Below are 22,166 nucleotides of genomic sequence, written 5' to 3'. Positions count from 1 at the left end.
TCATTTTAACCATTTTTAAGTGTACAGTTCATTGGCATTAAGTACATTCACAATTTTGTGTAACTGTCACTGCTATCCATTTCTAAAACGTTTTCATCATCCCAAATAGAAACTCTATATCCATTAAACAATAACTCCCAATTTCCTTCCCCCCCACCCCTTCCTGGTAACCTCTGTTCCTGTTCTTTCTATGTATTTGCTTATTGCAAGTACCTTAGATAAGTGGAATCATACAATATTTGTCCTTTTGTGCCTGGCTTATTTCACTTAGGATGTTTTCAAGGTTCACCCATGTTGCAGCATGTATCAGAATTTCATTCTTTTTAACAGCTAATGTTTCACTGTATGCATTGACCCATTTTGTCTATTCATTCATCCATTGATGGGCATTTGGGTCGTCTCCCCCTTTTGGCTGTTGTGAATAATGCTGCTATGAACATGGGTGTACAAATCACTATTTGAGTCCCTGCTTTCATTTCTTTGGGGTATATACCTAGGAGGGAATTGCTGGATCATATAACCCTGTGTTGAACATCTTGAGAAACTGCTAAACTGTTTTCCACAGTGGCTATATCCTTTTACATTTCTACAAGCAAGGCACAAGAATTCCAGTGTCTCCCATTCTTGACAATGCTTGTATTTTCCTGTTGTTTTGGTAATGGGTGTGAAGTGGTATCTTATTGTGGCTTTGATTTGCATTTTCTTAATGATTAGTGATATTGAGCATCTTTTCATGTGCTTATTGGCCACTTGTATATCTTCTTTGGAGAAGTGTCTATTCAAGTCCTTTGCTCAGTTTTGAATTGGGTTGTTTTTGTTGGTGTTGAGTTTTGAAGTTCTTTGTGTATTCTGGATATTAATCCCTTATCAGATATATAACTTACAAATATTTTCTCCCATTCTGTGGGGTGTTTCTTCCACTTTCTTAATAGTATCATTTCATGCATAAATTCTTTTAATTTTATGTAGTCTATTTATTTTTACTTTTGTTGTCTATGCTTTGGTGTTATATCAAAGAAATCATTGCCAAATCCAATATCATGAAGACTTTCCCCTATGTTTTCTTCCAAGAATTTTATAGTTTTAGCTCTTATGTTTAGGTCCTTTGATCGATTTATCATTTTTGTATATGGTATAAGGTAACGGTCCAACTTCACTCTCGTGCATGTGGGTATTGTTTTCCAGCCACATTTCTTGAAAAGACTGCCTTTTTGCTATTGAATGGTCTTGGCAACTTTGTCAAAAATCACTTTGTTATACCAGTGGAGGGTGTCTAGGTTTTTGGCATCTTGAACAAATAATTGGACAAAACGCACTAACAAAGCAAGGAAGGAATGAAGAGATTTATTGAAAATGAAAGTACACTCCACAGTGTGGGAGTGGCCCGAGCACAGGGGCTCAAAGTCCCTGTTACAGAATTTGTGGGAGTTTCCATTGGTTACTTGGTGTATGCCCTATGTAAATGAAGAGGATGAAGTAAAGTTACAAAGTCATTTACTCAGCATACACCCTATGGTGAGGATATTTCCTGTCATAGCTGAAGTGTGAATCGGCCTTATGTTCCCTGCCTCCAGACCCTATTTTCCTGCCTCAAAGTGACCGTATAGATGAGGGTTTATTTCTGGTGTTTACTTGTTTTTAAATGTATCTACTTGAAGGTACAACCATATGGAAATTTAAAGGTGGTAGAGAATCAGACAGATGAAGCAGCCTGGTATTTTCGGAAAGGGGGATCTTTAGAAGTTCATGGAACAAGAAGAAAAGGCATCTGAGAAAAGCAGTTGAAAGACCAGCAATGCTGGGCCTGCAATTTCTGTGGGCACAACTGCCAAAGGCAAGTGTAAAGAATCCTCATTAGGAGGTTCACACCTGTAATCCCAGCACTTTGGGAGGCTGAGGAGGGAGGATCATTTGAACCCAGGAATTCAAGACAAGCCTGAGCAACATAGTGAGACCCCGTCTCTACAAAAATGAAATAACATGAAAAATTAGCCGGGCATGGTTGCGGGTGTCTGTATTCCTAGCTACTCAGGAGGCTGAGATGGGAGGATTGCTTGAGCCCAGGAGGCGGAGGTTGCAGTAAACAGTGACCATACCAGTGCAGTCCAGCTTGGGTGGCAGAGTACAACCCTGCCTCAAAAAAAAAAAAAAAAAAAAAAAAAAAAGAAGCATCCTCATTAGGAATGGGACTAGGAAATGATTGATACTTAAGACATCAAGGACACACAACGAAATAACTTTCTTATTCAGAAGTGGGTGGCAGGACCAAGGAATCTTTATTGCATAAGATAAAAATCTACTAGCAGCAAACAACAAAACATACAAACAAATAAAACACACATACAAATACACAGACTAAATGGAAAACTTCCCAACAAGCTATAACACAATTGGCAATCCTTTAAAAAGTAGGTACTGGGGCACGTTGTCAAAAAGCCGCCATTCTTTAAAGAAAGAAATAATGGCCGGGTGCAGTGGCTCATGCCTGTAATCCCAGCACTTTGGGAGGCCGAGGCGGGTGGATCACCTGAGGTCAGGAGTTTGAGACCAGCCTGGCCAACATGGCAAAGTCCTGTCTCTACTAAAAATGCAAAAAATTAGCCGGGCGTGGTGGTGCACGCCTATAATCCCAGCTACTTGGGAGGCTGAGGCAGGAGAATTGTTTGAACCCGGGAGCAGAGGTTGCAATGAGCTGAGATCATGCCATTGCACTCCAGCCTGGGTGACAGAGCGAGACTCTCAAACAAAAAATAAAATAAAATCTAAACTATTCTCACACGCACCATCTCCTTAGGGCACTGAAACATTACTGTGGGCTTGGCAGGGCAAAACTCAAGAGTCCCCACTTTACTGATGAGTAAATGTCCCCAGGGAGGTTATTGGTTAGGAAGTGGCGGAGTCCAGATTAGATGCTAGATCTTCAGTCTCACGTTTCGGTGCTTTTTCCACCACAGGGGTAGATGAGGCAGGAAAGTGGAACACAAGGGAAAAAATTCATCCAAATGAAAGCTGTTTGTTAGAAATATGTCTTTTTGAAAAATTATGTTTTAAAATGCCAACAACAGGGGCAGGTAAATAGGAAAGTGCATGGCTCTGAAACAAACCTAAGTAGGGAAAAGCTGAGTGATCACTCAAGGCAGCTGACTGCATTTCTTGCTCCAGATCTCTGATGAATTGATTTCTTAAAGCAGTGGTTCCCAAAGTGTGACAGACAAGTAGCACTGGCATCACCTGTCTCTCAGAACGCCCAGTAAGAGTATTTATTCATGTTATTTATTTATTTTGTTTTTGTTTTTGTTTTTTTCTTTTTCTTTCTTTTCTTTACTTTTTTTTTTTTTTTTTTTTTTTTGAGACAGGATCTTGTTGTCGCCCAGACTTGAGTGCGCGATCTCAGCTCACTGCAGTCTCAACCTCCCGGGCTCAGGTGTTCCTTCCACCTCAGTCTCTGGAGTAGCTGGGACTGCAGGTGACATCACCACGCCCAACTAATTTTTTAAATTTTTTGTAGAGATGGGGTCTCGCTATATTGCCCAGGGTGGTCTCGAATTCCTGGGCTCAAGTGATGCTCCCACCTTGCTTCCCAAAGTTCTGGGATTACAGATGTGAGCCACCACGCCCTGCTCATGTTACTGAATAATCACCTTGATAGCACTCACCATGTGCCAGCCACTGTTCTAAGCCCTTACAAATGGCTAATTCATTTAAAGCCCACTCTATAACCCCTTGAAAAAGGCACTATTATCAGCTTATTTTACAGGTGAGGAAATTGAGGCACAGAGGAGTTAAGCAACTTGCCTTCGGTCAAATAATTAAGAGGTTGCAGAGTTACAATTCAAATTCAGGCCATCTGGCTCCAAAGCTTGTATGTTGGACCTCTATACTATGGTGCCTTTTCACATTCTTAACCTCTCTGCTATGCTAGGCTCAGTTGCTTGGTAGTTGTGAATCTGTAGATTAAAAATAAAGATGGAATCCATAATTGTGAGAATCAATGTTGTTCTGGATCACCCAGGTGGTTCATAGGCACCGCCTCCTCCAATAGCTTTGGACTGGGGCAGGGGTTCTTTTAGTTCAGGATGGCTCAGGCCTGGTTTTTGAAGGCCAAGGGGACTGACCTGCCACTTCTCCACTGGGTTATCAATTGTGCGATAATGATTGCCTGCTGTGTGCCCAGCAGTACTGGCTGCTGAGAACATCGTCTCTGACTCCAGGGAATTCACACTGCAGTTGGAGGGCCGTGACTATGACGCATGAGAACAATACAAACTATAAGTCTTAAAGTATGAGTCAGCGCTATAGGGCACTCACATATGGCCTGTGGCCAGATCTGTGGATTAGTCTAATTCGATGCTAAGCCACCTATAGCAGATGCTATTGGTGCCCTGCCTATACCCCCTTGGCCCACCCCAGGGGTCACCTGCAGACAGTTCCTGTGGATGCTTACGGCTTTCATGTCTCCCTGAGGATCATCTATGTCCATGGGAGTGTGCTTGGCCCATGTGCGGGACAAACCAGAAGTGCCAGGGAGATAACACCCCCAAACAGTGAGTAATGGGAGTTGGTATTTAAATATGCCAGCTTCCTTGTCCCTTGGTGGGACCACACTCAGATGTGTTCTATGTTATCTCCCAGAGTTCCCCAGTTGCATTGTACCCCATAATACTCATCTGCTCATGAATGTGCCCATTTCCGGATTCACCCCCTTGTCTGTCTCACTTGCATATTCCCCCACTCTGCTTCTGGGGACCCTCCCTATTGGGAAACTCCCCTTCCAAAGTTGAGGCCAAATCTTACTACCTCTAGAAAACCTGCCCTGACCTCGGAAGAATTAAATCCCCCTCCCCAGTGCTTGCTTCTCTTTATCCATCCATACCTGGGGATATCACTTTGTGTCACACTCATTACGGGCTTCCTTTGTACTGTGAGTCCTTGCAGTGTGCGGTCAGTGCCAGACAAAAGGTTGGCGAGGCGGGTGGCGAACTCACGGGAGGGAAGCTGATGGGCACTGAGAGCCTGCTCAGGGCCACTCTTCCAGGTGCTTTACGCACATTATCTCATTTAATCCTTACAAAACCTCTTTCCGGTGGGTAGTTTTCATCTCGGTTTACAGACAAAGAAACTGTCAAACAAATGAAGGCATTTGCCTAGAGGTCCCACAGCTAGGAAGATTCCCCATCAGAATCTGTAGCCTGTACTACTCACACGACACCAGGCTGCCCAGGGCACCCTCAGTAAGTGTCTGGGGACTGAATGAGCATGTCACTGAGGTGCAGGGCTAGGGGAGTGGAGAGGGAGCCTGGGGTGAGCTGTTAGAGAGCAGCAGCTCCCCCGACCCGGGGCTCTGGGAGATCTGGACCGTAAACACAGTAGCTTCACCCTGGAAGCCTGAGAGGTGACTCAGTAGCTCTTGACGGCAGGGAGAGGTGGGATGACACTCTCTCGTCAGGCCACTAGCCAACAGAGAGAGCCCGTGGACCTTAACACTTTCAGTTGTGTGATTTGGTGACATTTGAGGGGCTCATTCTTGGTCTACCAGAATGGGTTTTGGCACCTCCAGCCTCCAGCTCTCCTGGGCGGTACCAATGCCTTTTTTTTTTTTTTTAAATCTTTGAAGGAGGTCTTCTTTTAGATACAACTATTCTATTTTCCAGAGGGGCAGATGACATAATAGTGGAAGATGGTTATAATTTCATTCTTGCAGAGTTGTCTTCCTCATTTGGAAACAATTACACATTTGAGCCAGTTTGGTGATCTCATGAGCTACAATCCCCAACTTTCTCTCTGGGCTGGGTCTAGATCTTTCTGTGCTGCAGGCATTTCCAGCGATGAGTCCCTCTATAATTCCCCTCTCTGAGGCCTGGCTGTCTGATTTCCTCCTATCCTCTCTTGCTGTGTTCACCTGAGTCCTTGGTCTTCCTTGCGAGGAAGTCGGTAGAGCTGCAGGAAATGGGCTGCGTGCTCCTGAGAGGCGGGAAACCTGTTCTGTTTCATTTTGTCCTCTAATACCAGACCCTGTCCTGGTCTCCTCATTCTCTCTCAATCCCCTGTCTGTACAAATGAGGTTATAAATGCTTACCATGGCACTGATCTGATGCTCAGCCAATCTCACAACCCCCACTGACCCCTGCCAAATCTTACTACCTGCACCCAGGCATGAGGCCATGTCTGTTGGACCCTGGCTCTTTCCCTAGCAGGTGGAAGTGGTGATGGGGAGTGATGGAGAGTCTATCATAGATAGGTTGCAGGGGAAACTGAAAGCAGAGGGCATTGTGTCCCACTCTCCACTTGGAACTCCAGGTAAGGACTCCTTATGGGCCCTGTGTGTCAGCACAGGGCAGTTGCAGAGATGAAGTGGCAAAACTGTTTCCTCTGGGAGATGATGTCCCCTCCAAGTCTCTCTCAGCTCTCATGTGGTAGAGTAGGGACTCTAAAGTACCCTCATGTTCTTAGTGGGTAGCTGTGATGAGATCCAGGGGTGGGGACAGGGCTGCAAAGACTATGGCATGGACAGCCTAGGCCAGGGGTCAGATGGAGGATGAGACAGACATTCAGTGGTGAGAGCTCAAGGGAGCTGTATTAGCAGGAGAAGGACCCCCCAGGCCTGGATGGGATTCTGAAGAATAGACCATGGGCCCACTGGACACAGCCTTCAGCAGTGGACACCAGTTGGATACCCAGGAGCCCTGCAGGATGAGGGAGGTCTCTGGAGAGGCCATTGAGAACTCAGGGCTCAGCACTGGGTGAGCTCACAGATCCAGGCCCCTTCTCCCTGCTGCCAGAAAGGCCCTAGCACGCCATTCTCAGCCCAGGCGCCATCTTGACTACCAGAAAGAAAAGGAGGGTGGACAAAGATTGTGCATTTATTCACAAGTCATTGGGTTAACTAGAGACCATTTTAGAGCAAAAGAGACAAAGCTACCTTAAATCATCAGACTTAAGGATCTCTTTCCTATATTTCTGGAGTGGAGGCTCTGAAACAAAAGGGAGCCACCCTAGATATCAAAGGCAGCTCAGGAATTTTTGGTGTGTTTTGGTGCTATTGTTTCTACATCTAAATTGTATCTATAAATTTTAAACTTGCTTTAAAATGAATACATATTGAACACAGAATGATGTGTCAGGGCACTCCATTAGGAATTGTGGGAGGCCATCATCATATCTTGAACTCTGATCCTCCTCCAGGTTTTATCTTTTCAGGTATGTAGAGACATCATTCAGGTCCTAGAGGGTAATGGTGACATCTTTTCTCTCTTTGTAGCCTCCATATTTTCTAGCACATAGTAAGTACTCAGTAAACTGTGGTTGTCTAATTGGTTTCGATTTGTGACCCTAGTCTAAAGCCTAGAGATATTCCAAAAAGTGGGCCCCCCCTCAGCTTACATCAGCAGTACTATGCTCATCCGAACCCAGTCAGTTCTGATACAGTGTAGACTACTCCAAACTTCTGTATAGACTTCAGTGAGGTGGCTGTACCTTGGCTAGGATTACCCTTGAAGAATGGATTTCCCCTCCTCCATATGAGGAAGGAGCTCAACTGATTCCCCGTTAAGATTCCTTCACAGTCTGACATTCTGTGAGTTCAATCAGCCAGTAGGGACCATCTTCAGATTCTTCATTCATTGTCCTGGAATACCAGGGATCCTCGAACATTATGTCATTCTGGAAGTCCTTGGGTGATGTCTGAGCTGCTGATTATTTATGCCAGGTTCTCACATTTGGGTGCACATTGGAATCACCTGGGGGAATTTAAGAACACCTGCCTCGGCCGGGTGTGGTGGCTTACACCTGTAAACCCAGCACTTTGGGAGGCCGAGCCACGTGGATCATTTGAGGTCAGGAGTTTGAGACCAGCCTGGCCAACATGGTGAAACCTTGTCTCTACTAAAAATACAAAAATTAGCCGAGTGTGGTGGTGGGCACCTGTAATCCTAGCTATTCAGGAGCCTGAGGCAGGAGAATTGCTTGAACCTGGGAGCAGAGGTTGCAGTGAGCTGAGATTGCACCACTGCACTCCAGTCTGGGCAACAGAGCAAGACTCCATCTCAAAGATAAAAAAAAAAAAAAAAAAGAATACCTGCCTCCTACCCCCAGAGATTCTGACATTATTGGTCTGGGGGCACAGCCTGGATATTGGGGTTCTTCAAAATACCCCAAGCGATGCTAGCAGAACCGAGAACCACTCACCTCTGCAATCCCATTTTAAGGCTGTTCTCCTGTTCAAAGTCCTAATGTGAAATTGGAAACAATTTATAAGTCACATTTTTTCGAACTACATTTATTATGTGAGGCAATTTCAAAGGCTTTTAAAGTTATAACAAAGCCAGTAATCTCTTGATTTCAAAATGGATAAAAGCTCTAGAAGTGGCTCTTGCCGACTGGCAAATCCCCCAAGTTATCGTTGCTGTCCTTGCCTTGCTCTTCATTGAAGAATCCCAGTGTCTCTTCATAGTATCTTATTTATTTATTTATTTATTTTTCTGAGACAGAGTCTCGCTGTGTTGTCCAGGCTGGAGTGCAGTGGCGCGATCTCGGATCACTGCAACCTCCGCCTCCCGGCTTCAAGCAATTCTCCCACCTCAGCCTCCCGAGTAGCTGGGATTACAGGCTCGCGGCACCACGCCTGGCTAATTTTTGAATTTTTAGTAGAGACGGGGTTTTGCCACGTTGGCCAGGCTGGTCTCAAACTCTTGACCTCAGGTGGTCCACCTACCTCGGCCTCCCAAAGTGCTGGGATTACAGGCATGAGCCACCATGCCTGGCCTTCTTCATAGTGCCTTTAGTACCAGTACTGTGTATACTAAGACAGATTCTTTAGTACTACTACATAGTACTGGTACTAAAGACAGATTCTTTAGTACTACTACATAGTACTGGTACTAAAGACAGATTCTTTAGCACTACTACATAGTACTGGTACTAAAGACAGATTCTTTAGTACTACTACATAGTACTGGTACTAAAGACAGATTCTTTAGTACTACTACATAGTACTGGTACTAAAGACAGATTCTTTAGTACTACTTCATACATAGTACTGGTACTAAAGATTAACAACAGCAGCAGCAACACAACTGGACACTCCTGTAGGTCTTTGCGGTTGACGAAGCACCTTCGCATACATCATCTCACGGTGTCCCCTTGAGGTTAGTAGAAAAGTTTGTGTTATCCTCACTTTGCTGAAGAGAAAACTGAAGCTCAAAGCAATGGAGTGACTTTCTAGGTTACCCAGAAAGAAACAGTACCAAGATCCAGAAAGTGCTTATTTTTGGCTTGGACAGTTTGGGTAATTTCCAAATTCACACAGCTGGAAAGTGGAGGTGGTGAGATTCTAGAACTCGTGTTCTTAACCACTTCCCCAATATTTAGTCCTGAAGCATTAAAAATGGTTTTCTTGTTGTTGCTGTTGTTGTTTTAGAGCCTGGGTCTCACTGTGTTGCCCAGGCTGGAATGCGGTGCCTATTCACAGGCGCAACAATCATGGCTCACTGCAGCCTCGAACTCCTGGGCTCAAGCCATCCTCCCATCTCGACCTCCCGAGTAGCTGGGATTACAGGTGCATGCCACCGTGCCTGGCTTGAAAATGGTTTTTACACAACTTTGCATGATTTGTTCATCCTGGGATGAATTTATATCCCCAAAGCACTGTATAAAGATAAAGAGTGATCTAAGGCATAAAAGCAACAGTTCTGCTGATTTAACCTATTAGGGTTTAAGTTGATATTCCAAGAGAACACGCTGTTGAAATGCACCTTAATAGCATTCCTTAGTTCAAGAAATAACAAGAAACACATTGATCTTGCCAAGAGGCCTCACATTTACAAGATCACAGGGCTGTAAAAAACATCAAGGTAAGTTAGAGATACTTTTGCAATGATGTTTGTGATGTGATGTGTGTTAGTCTTTAACATCCGTGTCCAGTGTGACCTATACCCTTTTGTTACTTTTCTTTTAGAAGTGAACAGAGCATAAAGTAAAAGTTACTCTAATGTTGCTATAGTATTTAGTACAGCATAGAGTTTTTTAATTTGAAGAAGAGATAAACAAAGATATAAAATGGCAGTAATTTTGCTTTAGTGTGTAAATTAGAATTGCTTATAATTATCTGATTAATTGAATGAACAGGAATTGAACACATAGCTCTGTTGTCTTTCAATTATGTAGACATTTTTGCCTTGCTCCTAACTTGAAATATGATTTGATATTACACAGATTGGGATTCACAGTGAAGTCTAACCAATTCTGGGTTTTGGTGTACACAAGCAGAAGGAGATGGGTTTGAATTAGTGAGAAGTTTTCAGTTACAGGATGTTTTCAAAGTAGAGTTTTAAAACTTTGAAGTGAGTTGCATAATATGACTAGAATGTAAACTCTCTTTGAGGCCAGGGACTTTGTTTTATTCCCTGCTATAACCCCCGTGCCTGGCACACAGTAGGCCTTCAAAAATGGGATTAAAAGAATAAACTTTGGCAAATGACTTCACATTTCTGAGCTTGTGTTTCCTCACTTGTGGACTGAAGGGGTTGGACTATTTTGGTATCTGGTATTTTCCCCACCCATGACCTATTTTGTAATTCTTTTCTTCCAGTGAACTCCAAGCCCTAAAAGATGCTTTTGCACAATTTATTTAAGTAAGATTGTTCTCATTTTTGGTGTTGAGTAAAAACATATATGACAGTATCCAGTGTTTGTGATCAGCAGTAGAAAACCAGTATTGATATAATCCCAAACGGTACAAACATTATACTCTATTTTTATTTTATTTTTATTTTTTAGAGACAGGGTCTTGCTCTGTCACCAGGCTGGAATGCAATGGTGCAATCATAGCTCACTGCAGTCTCTAACACCTGGGCTCAAGCGCACCTCCCACCTCAGCCTCCCAAGTAGCTTGGACTATAGGCATGCACCACCACTCCCAGCTAATTTTAACATGTTTAGTAGCGATGAAGTCTCTTCATGTTGCCCAGGCTGGTCTCAAACCCCTGGGCTCAAACTCCTGGGCACCTGCCTCGGCCTCCCAAAGCACTGGGATTACAGGCGTGAGTCATCGCACCCAGCCTCAGCCTCACACTCTAATTTTTGTGTGTGCAGCCTATTGTGGATAAATAAGCGATTTTTGAAATGATGAAAGTACCGTCTAAATGACTACCTTTGCAAAACGTACAGTATTGCACTAGGTCATCTTCAAGTCTCCTTTACCTCTGAAGTGGATTTCTATGAACTTCAGTTTCCTGATGTGTAATACGAAGGGATGGAACCCCATGATCTTTGTAGGAGGTGCCTTCCTATGATGATCCTAAACTATGGAAACTTGAATTAGATGAGCACAGTGTTCTAACAGACATTCTCACTAACCTAGTGTTAGTGAATAAATAAGAATGTTTTATAGTCAGAATGGAAATCTCATGCATGTAAATCCTGGAAGAAACCATCTTCATGATTTTTTAAAATGCCCTCTACAAATTACTGATACCACATTGTTTGCATTAAGTGAGAAAAGTAGTTTATTATATAATGGTAAACTTTATCCAAGGGCACAGAATCATATAGTCTGAATTAATAATAATTACACCTTATTGTTGAAACTGTGATAAAATGCTTGATAAATGTAATATAATTTCATTCAAAGAAATCACTCCCATTTTACAGATAAGGAAATACAAGCAGAGGAATGTTAGAAACTTACTCAAGGCAGAGCCAGGATCTGAACCCAAGTCAGTCTCCTTAATCACATTTAAGGCTTGGCTCAGCAGGCATGTTCATTTATTCATTAGAAATAAATGAACACAGACATTTTATTCATATGTAGGAGATTACCAAATCAGAGTTACAGATTATTAAAAGTGAGGGATCTCAGATCAAACTTTCAAAGCTCATGACAAGCCAAAGAAAATAGGAGGAGAAGACATTATTAGAACAGGAGCTACCAATGTATAAAGGCTGGCTAAGGATTTTCTGAAGGTTAAGGGTTAACGTGGCTTCAAAACAGAGGCAACTTAAAAATACAATTTTTCCAACTAAGTAGGATTTCTATGCAGCAGGACTATGCCTAATTCCAACCCTCTTAATGGTTTTTTACTAGCATGTAGTTGTTTATAGAACTAGTTCCTCACATAGGAGTCCCACTTTCAAGGGTCCCGGAGAACCACGATATGAACATTCGCTAGGAGCAAAGCTGATAGGGTGAGTCATAAAGAAGGGGCTGTTCATATTCAGCCTCAAAGTGGCAAGGACTTCTCCTCCTCGGGTTCATGCTGACTGCCTGACTTTTGACCTTGTCAATATCATGACAAAGAACAAGAGAGAAAATGGTGGCTGGGGAGAGTGATTTTAGCATTAATCTTGTCCCACCCTTAGTTTAATGGGCATTAATTACTTCACAGCGCTCAAATTAAATCTGATGTGGCAGAGACTGGCTGGCACCAAAGCTTTTACTTTTTCTTCCTCAGCACACAGCTAGGCTACATTTCCCAACCTCCCTTGTAGTTAGAAGTGGCCGTGTAACTGAGTGCTGGCCAATGGATGTGGGTATAAGTGATGTGTGCCACCTCCAGGCCTGGTCATTAAAAATCTCCCACCTGGCCAGGTGCAATGGCTCACACCTGTAATCTCAGCACTTTGGAAGGTCAAGGAGGGTGGATCACCTGAGGTCAGGGGTTCGAGACCAGCCTGGCCAACATGGTGAAACCCTGTCTCTACTAAAAATACAAAACTTAGCCAGGCGTGGTGGTACAAGTCTGTAATCCTGGCTACTTGGGAGACTGAGGCAGGAGAATCACTTGAACCTGGGAGGCGGAGGTTGCAGTGATCCGATATTGTGCCACTGCACTCCAGCCTGGGTGACAGAGTGAGAGAGACTCCATCTCAAAAAAAAAAAAAAAAATCTCCCACCTGATTCCCATCACTCTCTCTCTTTCCCCGTTTGCCTGCCGCATCGTGCTCTCCAGAGCAAACTTGGAATCTGCATCTGACACATGGTGAGAACTCAGTAAATACTAGTAATTATCACTATAGACCAGTGCTCATAGAACATTTTTTTGCAATAACGGAAGTGCTCTATATCTGTGCTGCCCAAAACAGTGGCCACCAGCCACATGTGACCACAGTATTGAGCACTTGAAACTTGACTGGGGTACTAAATTCTAATTATGTTTAACTTTAATTAATTTAAATTTAAATAGCCACATGTAGCTAATGGCTACCATGTTGGACAGCACAGTTATAGACCATTTAATCTAATTGCTTCAGAAGGTTTCTATCTCAAACTGTGTAAGTCAGGATTCAATCACAGGAGAACCACTAAGGTGCGTGCACGCGCGTGCGCGCGCACACACACACACATACACACACACACACACACACACACACACACAAAGGGATTTGCTACAGGGATTTGTCCTAATACAACTGTGGGAGCTGGTTAAGCAGTCTCTATAAAGCTCTCATCTTCACATCTGATGTTGGGACTCGACATCTATCGGACAGGCAGTTGGGAAGGAAGGATAAATGTAAAATAAGGGAGAGCAAGAACAACCTGGAAACCAGAAGCATGCATTGTAGCCCACGAGAACAGACTGAGCCCCACGTCGCTTATTGTTGCTTTTGACCTTGGCAGTATGGATATCCTGCAGAAGCTGGGCGCTTCATCATAAAGTACACACATGGCCAAGGAGCCGAAGAAGCTGAAAAGGAAAACCCAGGAGAAGGTGGAGCAGTTACAGGCCCCGCACCTCCCTGGTCCTAATAAGATGAGGCAACTGATCATTGCCAACCTATGTGAGCTACAACATGGCTGCTGCCCACATCTGCCCAGATCTCCCACAGGAAACTCTCTTCTGTCCCACGTTAATTAGAAACATGCAAGAAAGGGAATTTTGGGAAATGTAGTTGGTCTAACGAAGATGATGCATTATGGAGCCACCACACATGCTAGCATGCTAATGAGCTCAATTTTCTATCTGCTAATACTTCTAAATAAAACATGAAGCTAACATCTCCCAAGGCTCTGTTTTGTTGTTTCAGTTCTGCAACTGGCCTAGAGAATTCTGAAGATCCTTGCAGCCAGCTAACGTTATCTTTGAGTGGTAAGATTAGGAGTACTTTTCAAGTTTTTCCTTATATTTTTCTGTGGCTTAGAATTCTTCCCACATAAACCCACATTATGATTGTAATCAGAAAAAAATTAGTTACTTTTTAGAAGCCAGCCTGTGACCCCTAGGGAGACCATGCATCCCACTTAAGGGCAACCCAATAACATCATGATTAACTGTGTCTTCTACATTCTTCCTGGAAATTTCACCTGTTCTTGACTTTGTACAAGAACTTATAAAACGTAAGTTATGGTCATCAGATTTCCTGAAGCCCTCTGCTTCTCTCCTCCCATGTTCTCAAAGTGATCCCAAGGATATTTTAGAAACTGGAAGCAAATAATATAAGGAGAAAAGAAACTGGAGTGGAAGTCTTGCACGTAGAAGGGAGAAATCATTTTTAGATAAGTCACTGGGAAAGTGAAGAATAGAGAGCGCATCCTTGATATGGTTTGGCTGTATTCCCACCCAAATCTCATCTTGAATTGCAGCTCCCATAATTCTTACATGTTGTAGGAGGGACCCGGTGGGAGATAATTGAATAACGGGAGCGGTTTCCCCCATACTGTTCTTGTGGTAGCAAATAAGTTTCATGAGATCTGATGTTTTTATAAGAGATTTCCCCCTTTCACTTGGCTCTCTCTTTTGCCCGCTGCCATATAAGACATCCCTTTGCTCTTCCTTCCTCTTCCACCATGATTGTGAGGCCTCCCCAGCCATGTGGAAATGTGAGTAAATTAAACCTCTTTCCTTTATAAATTACCCAGTCTTGGGTATGTCTTTATCAGAGCGTGAAAACGGACTAATACAGTCATTGTATTAACTACTGACTTGAGCAGTATTTACTGTGTATTCTTCTCAATACTTTAACAGTAGTACCTATGAAGTATGTCCTGTTACACTTATCTTCGTGCCTGTTTTTCACCTGGGAAACTGAAGTGCAGATGGGTTAAGTAAGTGGTCAAAGTTACATAGTTAGCAAATGGCAGAGCCAGGATTTGGACCTAGGCCGTCCTGGTCTTTGGAGTCTAGGCTCTTAACCTACCTGCCACACTGCCTTCTTTAGGGGTGCAGGACAGGGTCACGTGGACTATGGGAGTTCGATAGATTAACTGCTGGCAGGCCGATTCCTGTTTCTTCCTCACTCCCACATCCCAGTGACCCCCCCTCCGCCCCGCAAAATCCTCTCACTTTTACCTTAGTAGGATCTGTTGAACCTCTCTTTTCATGCCAGCTTCCCAAGCATGGGTTCAAGTCCTCATCGTGTCTTGCCCAATGTACCCCTGTAGCTTACTCTCTGGCCTTCCCACTTCAGATTTCCTTCATTTATTTCATAGTTATACAAAAAATATTGTTCTGTGTCAGGAACAGGGGCAAGGGGGAAGGGAGAATGGGGAGTTATTGTTTAATAGGTATGGGGTTTTGGTTTGGGAAGATGCAGAAGTTCTAAAAAGAGAAGGTGGTGATGGTTGCATAAACATGTGGACATACTTAATGCAACCAAACTGTACACTTAAAAATGGTTAAGATGAGGCCGGGTGCAGTGGCTCATGCCTGTAATCCCAGCACTTTGGGAGGCCGAGGCAAGCGGATCACCTGAGGTCAGGAGTTCGAAACTAGCCTGGCCAATATGGTGAAACCCTGTCTCTACTAAAAATACAAAAATTAGCTGAGCTGAGCATGGTGGTGGGCGCCTGTAATCCCAGCTACTAGGGAGGCTGAGGCATGAGAATTGTTTGAACCTGGGAGGTGTAGGTTGCAGTGAGCCGAGATCGTGTCACTGCACTCCAGCCAGGGCAACAGAATGAGACTCCATCTTGGAAAAAAAAAAGGTTAAGATGGTAAATTTTATGTGTTGTATATACATATGTATATATATATAAACGTATATATGTGTTTATATATAGACATAAAAACATATGTATATATGTAGCATATAATTTGTGGTTTTATATATATAAATAATATATAATAAATATAAAAATAATAATTGTTCTGAAATGTACCTTAAAAAGCCTCTACTGCATCTCCTTCTCCACAAGATAAAGCCCACATTTCTTAGCATAGCTTTCATTACTTGATCATCTGGCTCATGTGCCATGCAGGACTGTAGCTTGGCCACCATCTTTTTGTGCCGATGACTTTGTGATCAACCACTCCTCTTTGGCCCTTCTCCTGGAAAGACCCCATAGAACTGAGAGCTATCATTCAGCCTTGCCGATTATCATGGAAGTAGCAGGAATGATGGGTTAATAAGGAGATAGACTTACAGACAGCCTCTCAGGTGGCCAGACAGCATAGAGTGAATGGAGATGGTATGGCTTAGTGAAAGAGGTATGGGCTCTCAAGTCAAACAAGTCTGAGTCTGAGTTCAGGCTTACCATTAAACTCTCCATCTGTGAAATGAGGATGATCGTTTCCTATTGTAGGGCTATTGTGAGGATTATTAGCAATCATGCCCCAGATATAGTGGGTATTCAATATAAGATATACAGTGTGAATTCTCTTTAGCTCAGACTCAGTTAACTAAGTTTGGAAAGAAAGACATGGGTGGTATTCCAGTTATCTATTTCTGTGTAGCTTAATACAACTGTCATTTAGTTTGCTCACAGATCTGTAATTTGGGCAGAGCTCAGCAGGAGGGCTCATTCCTAGTTCACATGGAATCAACTGGGGCATCTTGGCTGAGGGCTGGATCCTCTGCTTCCAGGATGGCCTGTGCACACATCTGGCAAGTTATTGCTGGCTGTTGGCTGGGAGCTCAGTGGAAGCTGAGGACTAGGAACCTCAGTTCCCATGTGGCCTCTCTACATGGCCTGAGTTCTAAGGATAAGAGAGAGGGAGAAAGAGAGAGAGTGAGAGCAAGCAGGCAGAAGCTCTGTTGCCTTTTGTCACCTATCCTCTGAAGCCCATAGTGTTACTTGCACCATATTCTCTTAGTCAAAGCCCACCCAGGATCAAGAGAAAGGGACATAGGTTCTACCTCTTGACAGAAGAGTGGCAAAGTTCTGGAAGAACTTGTGAGATGAGAAATATTGCTGTGGCCATTCATGGAAAATGCAGTCTGCCACCAGGAGTTTTCAGCTTCTACCTTAAGGCTTTGGACTTGGAACCCATAGGGAAGTGATTTCTGAGGTTTACAGAGTGTCATGGGGCCGGGCGCGGTGGCTCACACCTATAATCCCAGCACTTTGGAAGGCCGAGGCGGGCTGATCACGAGGTCAGGAGATCGAGACCATCCTGGCTAACACGGTGAAACCCTGTCTCTACTAAAAATACAAAAAATTAGCCGGGCGTGGTGGTGGGTGCCTGTAGTCCCAGCTATTCAGGAGGCCGAGGCAGGAGAATGGTGTGAACCAGGAAGGCGGAGCTTGCAGTGAGCCGAGATCGCGCCACTGCAGTCCGGCCTGGGCGAAAGAGCGAGACTCTGTCTCAAAACAAAAAGAGTGTCATGGGCACCATGTGCGACATGGAACCAGGAGGTGGGGGACATGAGTTTTAATCGTATCACCACGCAGCAGTCTCCTCTTACACAAAGCACTCACCTGGAGCCCTGGACTTGTCATTTGTAACCAGATGATGCCCTCTTCAGCTTTACTCTTCTCCAGTTCTCTGAGACTGTGAGGTCCGGGCACTGTCCATTCCAACTCCGACATGTCAGCCATGGCTGAATCAGTGCTTCTCCATCCATCTTCTTTTCACATCGGAATTGCTAGAGGAGCTGTCAAAAATGCAGATGCCCAGGTTGAAATGATCAGGGGTGGGATCTGGACATCAGTCATTTAATTTAAAAAAAATTTTTTTAGAGATGGGTTCTTGCTGCGTTGCCCAGGCTGGTCTCAAACTCCTGGCCTCAAGTGATCCTCCTACCTAAGCCTCCTGAGTAGCTGGGATTTGAGGTGCTAGCCACCACGACTGACTACATCAGTAATTTCCCTGGGGGTGATATTAATGTGCAGCCAGGGTTGAGAATCGGTGAGCTCCGCCATTGTGTCCATCTAAGTGTGTACAGGAGTCAATCAAAGGAACCCAAGTGTAGCCATTGCTTTTCGTGCCCCTGTGACATCCTTTTGAGCCATCTATGAGACCAGCCACAGAAGAGGTGGACAGTTCTATGCTCGCAGACTTCTGTCTGCCTCTGGGGTTTCCCCCGAGCCCTGGCAGCCTGCTCAGCTGTCACAGGAAGAGCCCAGGAGTGCAGAGGAAGTAATGGCCCAGGAGCAAATGTCAACTGTTGGGGAGGGAGACTTGGATAAATGCCCCAGTCTCCAGCCCTTCCTAGAGACAATTCTAGAAGGCATTCTCTATGCTTCTCAGAGGTCTCTTTGGACTTGAGCTCCCACTGTCCACAACAAACACCCCAAACTTGGCTTCCATCCTTCCCTGTCTCTTTCTCCCTGCCTCCTGGGATTACCTCCCAAAGAAAGTACTTGCACTCCAGTCTTGATCTTAGGCCCTGCGACCCAGAGAACCTAAACTAAGATGCCAAGTGATCACTGCTCAATTGTGAACTGGCAAAGAGTGGTGTGAACTAAGGGAAATTGGAAAAACTGCTCGCCACAGCCAAACCACTGGTGCACGCACCCCTGCCACCTTTCCAGGCACTTCTGCACTTAAAACTCCCACAAGCGACTCTTGCTAACCCATACATGACAGATGCTTTGATGAGAAGGAAAGTGTCAGCTGGCTAGCAGCAGAATCACTCTAGACACTAGTGGAGTTGGGGAGGAGAGGGTTCTTTCTTCACACTCTATCTTTTCTGGAGGAAGCAGAGATAACCCTACAGCAGGGGTGTCCAATCTTTTGGCTTCCCCGGGCCACATTAGAATAAGAAGAATTGTCTTGGGCCACACGTAAAATACACTAACATGATAGCTGATGAGCTAAAAAAAAAAAAATCACAAAAAAATCTCATAGTGTTTCAAGAAAGTTTATGAATTTGTATTGGGCCACATGTGGCCTGTGGGCTGCGGGTTGGAGAAGCTTGCCTAGGTCATGCATTCTCAGTGGAGGCGCTATCATCCCCATTGGGGTGGAAAATTGGTTCTTGGTAGCAAAACAACAACAACAAAAAAAAAAAAAAAAAAACACAAAAAACGCTTATATATGACACAGGGCCAGGACTAGGATGAGGCAAGTCAGGGGCCCAGGGAAGAAAATATTAAGGAGACAGCCACTCCCAGGGCTGTGGATGTCCGCATATGGATAAACATATTAACTCGCCAGATGGCAACGAGCCTGTGCATAAAGAGATGAAAAGGATCAGGCAGAGGCAGAAAGTGTTGCAGTTTGAAATAGACTGGTCTGGAACAGCCTCTCGGAGAAGGTGACATTTCAGTAAAATGTGTAGGAGGCTCTGTAGCAAACCAAGGGGCCTTCTGGGGGAAAAGTGTTCCAGGCAGGTGGAACAGCAAAGGCAAAGGCCCTGAGGTGGGAATATGCTTGGTGTGTTGGAGAAACGGCAGGGAGGCCAGGATGGCTGAGTGAGGGGAGGGCAGGAGAAGATAAGGTTGGGGTAGAGAGCTGTCTGTTTCATGGAAATGTTGGGGCGATTCCATTGAGTGAGGAGCACAGGTATAAGGCCAGTGTCATCAGTGTCCAATAAAGGTGAGTCGGCCTCCCGCTTTCCCCACTCCCAAAGCGCTAAGCAGCATTTACATGTCGTCAGACTGAAATAGCTCTAGAAGCTACCAGCCTTCGGAAGTTACACCAATCACTTCGGAAGTGAACAGAAATCATGGCTAGCATTCTAAATGAAAAGCACAGCCATGACGCTCCATTATCAGCACGGGCCAGGACCAGCAGCGTAGATTGCTAGCCATGTGTCTAGTTTCAGAGGCACTGGGAAGGGCGGGGAATGATCCCCCAGTATCCTCTACTGGTCAGAAAGTTAATTTCAAGGCTCTCATTCTTCCTAAAGTACACATCCCTCCTGGTGGAGCACGGTGGACACCCAGTAGGTCAGTGGCCCTTCCTTCTCTTCAGCCCACAGCCCAAGATGAGAAGCGGCCTGGTGTAGTGAAGCTGGAGAGCCTGCCTCACATCCTAGTCTGCCCTTTTACATGTAATCTTGGGCAAGTTACTTGACTGCTCTTTTCCTCCATTTCCCTATCTGTGAAATGGGGATAACGTACCTCATAGGGTTGTTATGAGGGCTAAATGAGCTAATATTTACGCAGTGCCCGGTCATATAGTAATGCTGTATAAGTGCTTGTTAATTAAAGATAGACCCCCTTTGGGGGCTCTAATCTTCCCAGGAAAAAATGCATATGAACACACATTTGCATTTTATTTCGGGGCATTTATGGACGCTCCAAAATGCATCTCGTGGACCCTTGGGGAAGGGACAGTTCATAAAGCCCTGAGAGAACCAGGATGAGTTCTGGAGGGATCAAGAGCCAGGGGGATGGGTGGGCGATACTGTGCGAAGGCAGGAGAAAAGCAAGAATTGGGGGCTGGGGGCTCAAGAACACATTTCACCTTCTTCCCGTTCTGGCCAAAGCCCACCTAGAACTGCGGATTGCTTGCACTTTGGGAAGTTCCATCAGCTAAGAGCCGAAGTTTTTTTTAATGATGTCATTATTAATCATTTAATAAATACATTATGTAAGAGTACTTATTGAGCAGTGTCCCAGCGCGAGTAAACATGTTTTGGATATGCCAAATTAGAAATGTTTTCATTCAGTTTTGGGGGTTATGTAGTAAACTCGGAAAATGCCGTTCCTGGAAGAGTGTCTGTTATCCCAAGCCCTTAAGAGCCAGTGTAATAACAACAAAAATATTGTTCTGTTTGGGGTTCCCATATAAGAGTGCCTAGGCGTGGTGGCTTGTTTTTAATTATCTCTCTATGGAACAGTAATTCAATCCAGAGGAGGACTGCCACCAGATTACAAGTTTCAGTTGGGTTGAAAATATTCATGCAAGGAGAGCTAGTTGTAATCTTTTTAGATCCACTCCCAAAAGATTAAGCCTTTTTCTTTCCCATCCAACTTGGGGAAGAATGTGGTGGAAGTAAATACTCATAGTAGTACCACAATCATAGGTGTAAGACAACCATCTCACATTTGAAGTCTTAATATCTACCACGGTGTCAAATAGCAGGGAGAAAAATGAACACTTCAGAAACACCCAGACATGATCTTGCATAACTTTGGTGCAGGTAGTTTATTTGGGAGGTGATCCCAGGAATCAGGAGTGAAGGAGCAGGCATTAGGAAAAGAGAGAAGGGAGAAGGCATTAAGAAAAGAGGAAAAGTCATTAACAGGTATGTTATTGAGGTCACCACTGTAGGCAATGGGGGCTCACAATGGCTGACTTTTTAATGCTGTTTTTGATATGTATTTGGGTGGACATTTTAGCATACATTTGTAAGACCTGTTAAGGCATCTATCTGCTGTGATCGGCAGCTATAACTACTCCTCCAAACTTTGAAATCTGAGTCATAGTCATCCAAGAAGTATTCTTGAGTCTTTGCTCTGTTGACTCTGCATTAGTCATTTTGCCTTGTTACTTTCAGATCCATTCCCCATCCTTCCCTTACTCTGTATCACAGGGACCTGACCCCTTGCAATATCTTTCATGTCTCCTTGCCAACTGGCTTCCAGCTAGGTTCGGCCAGTGGGTGTCAGTGACAGGAGATTGGAGTGCAAGAGGAAAGGGGAAGTCAGGGTATTTCTCCCCCTCTCTCGGTTTGGCTGGCATCTCTAATGGGGGCTGTGCCTCTTCCATGATTCCAGTCTCACTGGACAGACCCCTTCCAACATCCCGTGGCCTGAACTCCTGCCTTGTGGCTCTGTTCATCGGTATCTGGTAATATTACCTCCCCCCTTTGCTCTTCCAGAATCTTCCTGCTGTTGCTCACCTCTGGATTGCTCCAGTTCTTCATCTTTGCAACATTTCCCTGTGTTACATTCCTGCTCTTGAACTACCTGTCATGGGTTCCCAACTGATCTCTGACTGACGGAGATTTCTTAAGGATTTCATTAGTCATTGCAAAAATATTTTAGGACATCAACCACAAACAAGACACTGGACTAGATTCCTGGAAGGTAATAAATAAAGCATCAAGCAGCTTAGCGTCTA

General features: G+C 44.4%; 1 protein-coding gene and 1 long non-coding RNA gene across 19 annotated transcripts in view; one reads left to right on the top strand and one right to left on the bottom strand.

Moving 5' to 3' along the window:
* ADGRG2 (adhesion G protein-coupled receptor G2) overlaps positions 1 to 22,166 on the top strand; it is a 133,650-nt gene that overhangs the window by 54,346 nt on the left and 57,138 nt on the right. The window lies entirely within an intron of this gene.
* LOC101928415 (uncharacterized) overlaps positions 11,478 to 22,166 on the bottom strand; it is a 69,547-nt gene continuing 58,858 nt past the window's right edge. For all 3 annotated transcript variants that reach the window (XR_001755805.2, XR_001755808.2, XR_007068405.1), the window contains 2 exons: positions 17,630 to 17,805; positions 11,478 to 16,907 (listed from right to left, as the gene is read on the bottom strand). This is a non-coding gene — a long non-coding RNA (uncharacterized LOC101928415). The remainder of the gene's footprint in view (positions 16,908 to 17,629; positions 17,806 to 22,166) is intronic.

The sequence above is a fragment of the Homo sapiens genome, chromosome X (genome assembly GCF_000001405.40).
Source record: "Homo sapiens chromosome X, GRCh38.p14 Primary Assembly".
In the NCBI taxonomy this organism is placed as follows: domain Eukaryota; kingdom Metazoa; phylum Chordata; class Mammalia; order Primates; family Hominidae; genus Homo; species Homo sapiens.
This window is presented reverse-complemented; position numbering and strand designations above follow the sequence as displayed.